General features: G+C 41.5%; 1 long non-coding RNA gene across 1 annotated transcript in view; it reads right to left on the reverse strand.

Annotated features, from left to right (window-relative positions):
• Window positions 1-12,055, reverse strand: part of NXTAR (negative expression of androgen receptor regulating lncRNA) — a 39,942-nt gene that overhangs the window by 14,052 nt on the left and 13,835 nt on the right. The window contains exon 2 of the long non-coding RNA XR_938423.3: window positions 2,873-2,966. This is a non-coding gene — a long non-coding RNA (negative expression of androgen receptor regulating lncRNA). The remainder of the gene's footprint in view (window positions 1-2,872; window positions 2,967-12,055) is intronic.

Here is a 12,055-nt window from a genome sequence, read left to right on the forward strand (position 1 = left end):
CAGAGGTTGGAATCCAGGTAGGGTCTGACAAGAGAAACTCAGATGCCTTGTTGTCTATAGCTGCTCCCATTAGTCCATAAGCCACCTCTTTCTTGCTCAAGCCAGAGAGTTGGTTTGAGGGACACCTATGCATGTGGGTTGCATTCCTCTTCCCTGCCCTTGTCTTAGCTTAGATGAGCATGTAACTGGACACTGAAGCTGTCAGCAGAACAGATTACTTATGACTAGGCATGTCAAAAACAGGAGGCAGATTAAAGTCTGGCCAATCATCCCATGAGCTAGGCCCCAAATGCTGGTACTTAGTGCCAGCTCTGGCCTGTGGGGCTTACTATGCCTCTGGGAGTAAGCGCTGTGTTGCCACAATTTCTCTTGGCAGGAAGGATCCCTAGAATTTAAGTCAAGAGCCTCAGGTTCTACCTCTGGCTCCATGACACATTTGAAATATGACTTGGGGCAAATCTCTTCTTTCTCTTTGTCTCAGTTTCTCCATATGTAGCATGACAGATTCAGACTCTTCTAGTTCTATTACTTTGTAGCTTTTCAGATACCTTGACCTGACTTATTCTTCCATCAGTCCTTTCCCTCTCTTTTCTCCCTCCTTCCCTTCTCCTTTCATCTGCATATTCTCTGAGGGACCCTCTGGCCTTAACTTGTGACATTAACTATATCAGGAAAAATCTCTATACTTCAAGAAGGGCTTTAAGGAAGTTACATCTTAAACCAGCATTTTTCAAACCGTGGGTCACAACTCACTAGTAAATAATGGAATCAATCTGGTAGATAAGAACTGGCACTTTTTAAAAGTGAAATAAAATAAAATAGAAAATATCAATGTGACTGCATATATTAAGGGTATTTTTTAGTGAAACTTTTGTTTTTATATTAGGTTGAACAATATATAAAATTGCCAATATGTATGTATACACACATATGTACGTATACATTTGTGTATGTACACATACACACACAGTGAAAGCATTTACTAGTTTACACTATAAAATGTATACCTTACTATGAGTCACAGTAAAAAATGTTTAAAAGTCACTGTCCTAAGAAGGAGATAGCCAATGGTGAGCTATGTGGAGATACTGAAAGAGGCAGCTATGCAGGGGCCTTTTGGGACCCATCACTTCTCAAATATAGGTAGAGACCTTCTTTATTACCTATATAATCATCCAATTCTGTTTATACACCAGGTCTGGTGCATTTTTGGTAGTGTGTCCTCCTCATCAAGACAATAGAGTGTGTGCAGGGGACCTTTTCTGCAGAACCATCCCTAAGAGGGAAAAAGAGTAATGAGGCCTTCTGAGAGTGGTGATTTGGGGCCTCCATCATTGGTCTTCAGTGTTTGCTGGGCCAGTGGGCTTCCACTCACCCTGATGTTCCCCCCGCCACAAGTAGGGATGCACCACATGGGGCTTTACGGCACCTCCTGTAGCTGCCTGTTCTCTCAACATGGATTCTTTTTTGGACAGGAGGAGGGGCTCTTGTACTCCCAGAAGAAGATAAAACATCAACTCTGTTCCCAGTGTTATATGCAACAGAATTCTCATCAGCTCCCCGACAGGTTGGGGAGTGCCAGGGACATGGTTAGAAAGAAGAATGAAGAGCATCTGGCATGCAAGTCTGTTCTGAAGGGAATGAATAAAAGTGGCCAGCCAGCTGTTGCAGTTCCTAGTCCTCTTAAGACGCGATTCACTGGCAGTTGTTTCCCCTTCTTGGCCTCCCTATGTGAAGAGGACACTGACCACTGTTAAGACGACAAGGTCTTTCTGGCACTGAGTCTGCCACTTTCTCCAATAATTTCCAAAGAAAGAACCCCTGAGGAGAATAAAACACATCAAAGCTCAGATACCTGACTTGTAATGTGAGTTTAACGAAAGAGAATGGCCAATAAGCTCTCACTCCTTGTCAGGCACTGAATAACCTTTTTTTGTTTATCATCATAGGTTTCCATGTAAAGAAGGGTAAGCAATGGCTGGGCTAGAAATCATGGGAAATTTACATAAGGAAATCTTAATCCCTTAATATCTATATCCCCTGCCTCCAGGGTTTCAAGGTTTCAGTCTTCTGTCCTGACCTCCATATGTTTTTTATTTTATTTTATTATTATTATACTTTAAGTTTTAGGGTACATGTGCACAATGTGCAGGTTAGTTGCATATGTATACATGTGCCATGCTGGTGTGCTGCACCCATTAACTCATCATTTAGCATTAGGTATATCTCCTAAAGCTATCCCTCCCCGCTCCCTCCACCCCACAACAGTCCCCAGAGTGTGATGTTCCCCTTCCTGTGTCCATGTGTTCTCATTGTTCAATTCCCACCTATGAGTGAGAATATGTGGTGTTTGGTTTTTTGTTCTTGCAATAGTTTACTGAGAATGATGATTTCCAATTTCATCCGTGTCCCCACAAAGGACATGAACTCATCCTTTTTTTAATGGCTGCATAGTATTCCATGGTGTATATGTGCCACATTTTCTTAATCCAGTCTATCATTGTTGGACATTTGGGTTGGTTCCAAGTCTTTGCTATTGTGAATAGTGCCGCGATAAACATACATGTGCATGTGTCTTTATAGCAGCATGATTTATAGTCCTTTGGGTATATACCTAGTAATGGGATGGCTGGGTCAAATGCTGACCTCCGTATGTTTAAATCCTTCAAGATCCACCTAACTTCTACATCTTCTGTTAAAATTTCCTTCCCCCACCCTAAATTGGCGTTGTCATTCTACATACTGCCATAACATTTTTTCTGCCCTTTTATAATTCTCATACTTTCTGACTCATATATTATGCTATGTGTGTCCATGTTCTAGCCTTCAGAGTCAGACAGAACTGAATTCAAATACAAGCCCCACTACTTACTTCATGATCTTGGGCAAATTCCTTAACATCTCTGGGCCTCCATTTTTCATCTGGAAAATTATTGTGGCAATAATATCCACCTCATAAGGCTGATCTGTTGACAAAAAAAAAAAAGCATGTTTAAAATGCTTTCCCAGACTTCCAGTTTCATATCTCATATTAATCCTATCATAACAAAAAGGAAAGTCTGGAACAAACTCAATACGAATAACTTTTATTGGACCCATCAGAGAACTGGCAATGCAGAGCAAGCTGTCATTCCAAAATCTGGTGAAACAGGTGAATTATGAGACTTATAGCCATGATTTCTAGAGCAGAAGTCCCTGGAGCCATAAAATCATAAGAACATTTAAATGATAATTTTGACAAATTACAGGAGGCTGAGTGTGAATTAGTGTGAAAGTGGGAGCCACAGGGTTTTTTTGGGAGGAGCACAATTTTGTGGAGTGTCTCTTCAGGAATCCCATCAGTTTATCATGGTGAGGAGTCAAGAAAAATCTCCTGATGGCTCTGGCAGGAGGAAGGAAAAAGTAACCATCATTTTTAAGTGCACCCAGAGCATTCTCCATAACAAAGGCCTACTTTCCAGGGCAAAAGGCTTGACAAGAGAATTCCATATTCAGTAAAATTATCCTTCAAAAGTGAATAATAAATAAAGATTATCTCGGAAAAACAAGAACTGCAGGAATTTGTTGTTAGCAGACTTGCTCTGCAAGAAATGTAAAAAGTTCTTCAAAGAAAAGTAAAATGATATAGATGAAAAACCAGGATGCACATAAAGAAAGAAAGAGCATTGTAGAATAAATAAATGAAGGTAAAATAAAATATTTTAATTTCTCATTCTTAATTGATCTAAAACTGTCCATTTAAAGTGATACTAGTAACAATGTACTGTGCAATTACAGAATATGAATAAGTGAAATGAATAATAGCAATATTATAAGGGAAGGGAGGAAGGAATTATGACTACTCTAAGGTACTGCACTACACATCACATAAAAGTGGTATAAAATCATTTGAAAGTGGACTTAGATAAGTTGGACTTAGGTTATATTTCAAACCCTAACATAATCACTAAATTTTTTAAAAGTACAATTGGTGTGTTAAGAAAGGAAAAAATGGAATCATATAAAATGCTCAAAACCAGAAAAGGCAGAAAATGAGGAGAAGAAAAAAAATAAAGAGCAAGTACAACAAACAGAAAACTGTTACAAACATGATATATATTAATTCAACTATATCAATAATCACTTTAAATGTGAATGGTCCAAGTACAGCAATTAAAGGACAGAGGTAGTCAGAATGGATTAAAATAACAAGACCCAACTGTGTGGGTTGGGTCTACAAGAAACCCACCTTAATTCTAAAAACTCGAATAAATTAAAAGTAAAGGGATGAGCTAGATGCAGTGGCTCACACCTGTAACCCCAGCACTTTGGGAGATAGAGGCAAGAGGATCGCTTGAAGCCAGGAGTCCAAGACCAGCCTGGGTAACATAGCGAGACCTTGTCTCTACAAAAAATAAAAAAATAGCCAGGCATGGTAGCACATGCCTGTAGTCCCAGCTACTTGGTAGGCTGAGGCAGGAGAATCACTTGAGCCCAAGCATCAACTATGATTTTACTACTGCACTCCAGCCTGGGTGAAAGAGCAAGACGCTGTCTCAAACGAAAAAGTAAAGAAATGAAGTAAAAAGGAAAAGGAATTTAGAAAGATATATATTAATATAATGATAAAATACTTTCACATAGTAAGAGCTCAGTGAATGATTCTTATAATTGTTGTTTTTGTTGCTGTTGTTATCGGACTTAGAGCTCCTAGGTAACTGGGGCCTAATCTGCTTCATCACTGCCTCCCCAGCACCTGACACAGAGCAAATGGGAAGAAAGGGAAGCCAAATCAATTCATATAAAATGGATTAAGTGCCTACACTGTGCCAGGCCCTGTTTCAGGGAAAAAGGTCATTTAAATGCCGATTCTGTTATTGAGTAGCTCACGGTGAAATGGAGAAGATAAATTTTCACTCTTTCAACAAATACTTATCTGTAAATCAATAATGACAAGTACAGTGTGGTCAGTGTTTTACATTTTGACATCTCTGAAATCAGGAGGCATCTTGAGACCAATGATTTCTTAGCAATGTGCTGTCATTTCATTGACAGCATTTTTTTTAGTGTTACATAAAATGATGGTGTAATTTCAATCAATGGCATCTTAGATTTGAGGAAATATGGCAATAAATTATGGCCTTTGGCAACCTTGGGCCATAGATTTCATTGATGAGAAAAACCAAGGTTTAGGAAGGTTAAATAATTGTTCAAGATCACAAAGCTGGTAAGTAGCAGGTCCTTGTGACTCTAAAATACATGCTTTGTCTTTCACTGCAACACTTCAAGAATTGAGTAGGCACTCAATATCAGTTTGAGCATTTAAATGAATGAACGAATAAATGAGTAACAGTAAATGTCAGCCTTTGAAATAAAGTGTTTCACGACATTTTGTTGCTGTCCAATAGAAATATGTGAGCTTCATATGTAATTTTAAATTTCCTAGTGAATACATTTTTAAAGTTTTTTTTAAAAAGTGAAATTAATTTTAATAATGTATTTATTTCATCTACTATGCCAAAATGTTATCATTTCAACATGCAATTCAATTTAAAAAATTGTTAATGAGATAATTTACATTTTGTTTTTCATACTAACTCTTTGAAATCTAGTATATATTTCATACTTACAGCACATCTCAATTTGCAATAGCTACATCTCAAGTGTTCAGTAGCCACATGTAGGTAGTGGCTACCTCATTGGACAGTGCAGTACTAGAGCACCAGGAAGATCTTACTGCCTCTCTTCCTGGCTCACTGATGCCAACAAGTTTGCCTCTAGAACTTTCTTCATTTGGCTATTAAATGACTGTCTTCTCTCCCTCTCCACGATGCTTTAGTAATCATCATACATCAGTGTTAAGGACCTTTTTTCCTCTTTCTATTTTTTACATTTTACTTGTTAACTTATTATTATAAAAAATTTCTGACACATAAAAAAGTAGAGAGAACAGAATAATAAACTCCCATGTACTTAACCTTTTGCCCATCTCATTTCATTTTCCATACTCTGCTGCCTTTCCATGCATTTTCCTCTCAGGGTATTTTAAAGTAAATCATTTAGTCCCTAAGTGTTTCAGAATGCTTTTTTAACAGAAAATGTTTCTATTTTAAACATAGCCTCAATTTTGTTTTAAACATAAGCCCAGTACTCGATGTCATTATTAGAGTCTTTTTGAATTATTACCCACATATTTCCCTCTAATCTGTGCAAGGCCCTGGCAGGCGGGATGGGAGAAGAAGATGCAGTGATCTTGGCTAGTCACTCTACCTCTCCGAAACTTCAATTTCTATAAAATGGAGATAAAATAGCTACCACACTGGATTGTGGTGATTATTCTGTGAGATACCCCAGGTATAGCTCTAAGCCTAGTGCCTGACAGATAATGGAAGCTTAATAAGAGAAAGGTTCATGGTAAAAGGGAAGTCTTAACCAATATAGACTAAAGCAGATTGATAGCTTTCATTGTTCCGGGTATCATGCTTTTATCAATGCATCCTGTCACTTTCCTAGCTTTTGTCACAGTCATATCACATTATTGAGCCAAGGATGTTGTTGTTAATTAAAACCCCTTTGTCATTTTCACAGTTGCTGCTATTGAGCCCTGACTTTGCATCTTGTGATTGTCCCTGCACTTTTACCCTCTCACAAATCTGTCCCTCCTTGCTCAGCTCCTCATTGTCTCACATTGGGATAATCTTAATTGTCTCCTAACAAGTCTCCTTGCCACTATTTTAGTCCCACCCCATTCTACTGGCTTTGAGGTTTCAACTGAGAGAAGGACCAATTGTTTCCCAGCTCCTTCGGGGATCTGGAACAGGAAGGATAGGAGACAGGGTCTCCTAATTGCTTTTCCTACTTTCACATGTTCCTTTTCAACTCATCCTTCTTTAGCTACCAGAATGATCTTTCTAACACAGATATCCACATGCCACTCTCCTCAAAACCATTCACAGGGCGGGTGTGGTGGCTCACACCTATAATCCCAGCACTTTGGGAGACCGAGGTGGGTGGATCACCTGAGGTGAGGAGTTCAACACCAGCCTGGCCAACATAGTGAAACTCTGCCTCTATTAAAAATACAAAAATTAGTCAGTCGTGGTGGTAGGTGCCTGTAGTCCCAACTACTCGGGAGACTGAGGCAGGAGAATCACTTGAACCTGGGAAGCAGCAGCTGCAATGAGCCAAGATCATGCCATTGCACTCCAGCCTGGGCAACAGAATGAGACTTCATCTCAAAACAACAACAATAGCAACAACAACCACCACCACCACAACAACAAACATTCAAAGGCTCCTCTTATTCTCTAGAATAAAGTCTAACTGTTGAACAAAGCATTCAAGTTCCTCTAAGGTCTGATCATAACCTCCAGTGGCTTCCCACTTCATTCAGAATAAAAGCCGAAATTCTTATTGTGGCTTACAAGACCCTCCATGCTCCGCCTCCCACCTTGCCCTATAATCCTAACCTCTCTGACCTTGTGTCCTACTACTCATCCTTGCTCACTCTGCCTCAGGGACACCAGTCTTCCAACTTATTCCTTGAACATAAGAAGTATGTTCCCACCTTGGGACCCTTGTACGTATCACTCCCTCTGCCTGGAACTCTCTACTCCAGATACTCACATGGCTCATTTGCAATTTTTTTCAGCTTTTTATTCAAATGTCACCTTCTCAGTCATTGTACCTTATTTAAAATTACAGCCCCAGCAAGCCCCCACATCCCATCCTTTTATCTGCTTTACTTTCCACCATATCACTTAATATGAGTATATAATATTTTTGTATTTATTGTGTAAATTCCTATACTAAAAAGTAAGCTGCATGAAGACAGCAATTTTTGTTTGTTGTTCACTGTCATATTCCTGACACTACCTTCACCTTCCCATCTGGATGTATTCTTCATGCATCTTAATATAGTGCTCCCACAGTGTTATATATTTATCCCTATGGTAGCACTAATCACTCTGGACAATATCTTTCTATTTCTTTTTCTATTTCCCTCACTAGTTCTAGAGCTTCCTGTGGTATTTTCATGGAGTCAGTGTCTATTATTTCACTGACTTTTTTAAAGTTTCATTTTGTTTTTAATTGACACTACAGCTAGATTTTAGAGCTGAGGTACAGGACTTTGCACTTGAATAAGATTAATACATCTTGTCAGCTGTGGTCTGGAGCCCAGGTCTACATGCACCCTCCTTGGACTGAGGATATTACCCTGGGCTCTTGTTTCCTGGCCCTACCCATTTACAGCCTGTTTGCATATGTAACCTTGATTGGAATGTTCTCTAGCCCTCAACAAAGCAATTGGTAAAATTATTGGGCAAAATGTTAAGATAGGGTTGGGGAGGGAATGCTTTGTGTCAAACTACCAAAGATGTCATCTGCAAGGACTCTACCATTCATGCAGTCACCTCCATACATATCAGCCTGAGCTATTCTCTATATGAGTTTTTTATATTTTCTTAGATTGCTCACAGAAGGCAAAGAGGCCTGAACCACCCCATATACACACCCTCTGGGCTCCAACACTGATGTTTCAATTTTGCGGGATGCTCAGAGGCCTGAGGAGCTCCAACATCAAGGCACTTCAGTTAATTGGATAGTGTCAGAGGCCTTCTCTCTCCCAGGTCCTGTGAGTAGTAGTCTGAGAGATCTTGAGGGCAGGCAGCTTATCTTTCATTTCTATATCCCTGTAACCTGGTAAGGCCTTAGTGCAAAGTAGGCACTTATCCTGTGATTAATGATGAATAGATGAATGACCAAATAAACCAACAAATAAAATCATCCATAATCTAAAATACCACAGGGAAAAAGAAAACTATTAGGGCTATCTAGCAAAAAGCATCAGGTGCTAGAAGCCAAAGACCAAAATGAGAAAACATTGGTAAGAGTCTAGAGGCCATGTAACTTCCTCACCCTTGTATTCTAGGTTGTCCACTTCCATTTTCCTGAAGAAATTATTAAGAAACCACTCAAAGTTCAAAGGAAATCTATGTTCATGAGAATATAGGAAAATGAGAAACCTTGTCTTCTACTGAGAAGCATATAAATTGCTCTGGAAAGCAGTCTTGATGCAGCAATTCCATCCCTAGGAGCTAAACCCAAGGAGACAGACAGACTATTAGACTACAAGCTCCAGCACGGCAGAAAATTAACATGTTTTACCCACCATATTTCCCCAGAGCCTAGCACAATAAGCACCTGTAAGCATTAAATCAATCTTTCCTGAATAAGTACATTTTAAAACATGTATTTTATATACAGGAATATTTTTTAATTTTTAAGTGTTAATATAATCCAATTCATCATTTCTTTCCGTTTTTTAATGATTCATGCTTTTTGCGTCCTAAGAACACCTTGAACAACCCAGTGGTTCTCAACCTGGGGGCTAGTCACTTTGTAGGGGACATTTGGCAATGTCTAGAGATTTTCTTTCTGTTTTTTATTTTTGGAAATGGAATCTCCTTATGTCATCCAAACTGGAGTACGTTGGCTATTCACAGGCATGATCATATAATAGCACACTGTGACCTCGAACTTCTGGTTTCATGTGATCCTCCCACCTCAGCCACCAGTGTAGCTGGGAGGACAAGTGCCCGCCATCACACCTGGCTACACAAGAGTATTTATTACGATGTTTGTACTACTGAAAAATTATCGCTGGGATGGAGCTCCCAGAGAGAGGGGCAGGCTGCCATCTTTGCTGTTTGGCCAACTTAGCATTTCTTTGTTGCTTTCAGTCTTTGCAGAGTCTGAAGCAACTAGGGGCTGCAGTGGCCTCCCAGGACAGCACAGCTGCTCTACAAAAATGTGGCCAGACTGCTTTTATAGTGGGTCCTGGATCCATTTCTCCTCACTTGGCAGGACCTCCCAACTGGGGTCTCCAGCCTTCTTCCTACAGGTGCATTCAGGCTGGCAACAGGTCCATACCTCCCTGTGATGGAACTCCCAGAGGGAGGGGCAGGCCACCATCTTTGCTGTTTTGCAGATTTCACTGTTGGTGCTTTCAGGTACTGGAAAATTCAAAGTGACTAGGGACTGGGGCAGAACCCCATCATACCACAACAGCCTTGTGGAAAAGTGTCCAGACTGTTACATAGGTGCCCATTCCCATATTTCCTCCCTGGGTGAGTCTTCCAGGCCTGGGCCTTCAGCCAGCCCCCACCAGGGTTATTGAGCCAGTAGCAACTCTGCAGCTCCTTGGACAGAGCTCCCAGTGGGAAAGGTGAGTTGCCATCTTTGCTCCTTTCAGCCCTTTCCCTTGCTGTTTCCAGGCTTGGAAGAGTCTGTGGGGACCAAGGGCTGGTTTGGACCCCCAGCACAGAGCAACCACCTCACAGAAAAGTGGTCAGACTGTTCTCCATGCAGGTCGTGGTCCTCACTTCTCAATGGGCAGAGCCACCCAACCTGAGACTCCAGCACAACCAACCTGCCCTTACCTGATCACCGCAATCAGAGGCAGGCCAGCATTTCTCTGAGGAAGAAATCCCAGAGTCAATTCACAACCACTCCACCACTGCAGTTGCAGTAGTACAGCCATAACAGCCCTCAGACTTCAGAATAAGGAAGGAACAAAAGGTCTAGTCATTACACTGGTACTTCCAGCACACCACAGCCACCATACAAAGTGTGGAGCACAACCCTTCTTCCCTGGAAACCTACACTGCGCACTCTTCACCAGGCAGGAGCCCTGGCTCATGAATGCAGAACAGCCACCCTACCCATGGATGAGCATGCCCACTGGTAGTGGCCCAGATTTTCCCCAGGGAGAGGCTATCAGAAGCATATGACAGCCCCTCCATCACTGCCATAGTAACAGTTCTATCCCTGCTGCCCTTCATCTGGAGAAGAAATAAAGAGCTTGAGGGCTACATGCAAGCTTACAGCATGCCACCAGTACCATACAGAGAGGAGAACAATCTCTCCTCCCTGCGAGCCTTCTGCCCCTAGCTCCCCAACAAGTGGAACCCCAAGCTCACAACAGCAGTGCAGCCTCCCCACTCCAGTGGCTGAACAACCCCAATAACAGTGGCTCTGTGTTTCTTGGAGGCAGAGCTCCCACAGGCAACTGAAAACTTCTCTGCCACTGCTTCTGCAGTGGAACTGCTCTTGCTACCCTTAGACTAATGAAGGAGCAAAGACCCTAAGTGCCTTATCTACACCTCCAACAAGCTGCAGTCAACCCAAAGAGAGGAGGCTAGTCCATCTCCCATGGGTTCCACTTACTTCCTTGCTGATCACCATTCAGAGAATCCTTGAATTAGGCCCAGAGCACAGACCTTCCATCCTGGGCTAATTGCACTGAGCAATTGCTGACCTGCAGCTCTCTGTGGTGGAACCCCCAAGAGGCAAGCAAAGGACTCTTGGCCACAGCCACTACTAAGATCCCTTCCTCTGCTTCCTCCAAATTGGAGGAGGGGGGACATAAACCCAGAGATCACCCTAGAGCTGTGGTGGACAGCCCAAGAATGCCCAGCCACAATCTATGGCCAGCACTTAAGTGGGAGAGGAGCCCACACCTTCAGACCATTGAGAGGGAGCACAGCTGCAACTATGAGGAAATATAGGGGAGCCATGTGACTGAGGAAGAGTCTACCAACTAGCCAATATGCCTAAGCACCACCTACAGATCACGCCCCAAAGCTTCAATACAAAAAAAAAAAAAAACCATACTTCACTAACATACACCCCGCTGAAACCAAAGGCAAGAAGTAAGCTGCAAATAAGGACCCTGCACAAAGCCTCAGCCCTGTATAAACATTCAGAAAAGAAGTCCATCAACTTTACTCAATCTACAATGCCGTTAAGGGAACACTCACAGGCAGAGATGAGAAAGAACAAACACAAGAACTCTGGAAGTGCAAATGGCCAGAGTACTGTACATCCTCCAATCAACCACAACAGTTCTCCAACAAGGGTTCTTAACCAGGCTCAGCTGGCTGAAATGACAGAAATAGAATTCAGAATATGAATAGGAATGAAGATAATCGAGATTCAGGAGAATGGCAAAACCAATGCAAGGAAACTAAGAATCACAATGAAATGATACAAAAGCTGAAAGATGAGATAGCCA

The sequence above is a fragment of the Homo sapiens genome, chromosome X, assembly GCF_000001405.40.
Source record: "Homo sapiens chromosome X, GRCh38.p14 Primary Assembly".
NCBI lineage: Eukaryota > Metazoa > Chordata > Mammalia > Primates > Hominidae > Homo > Homo sapiens.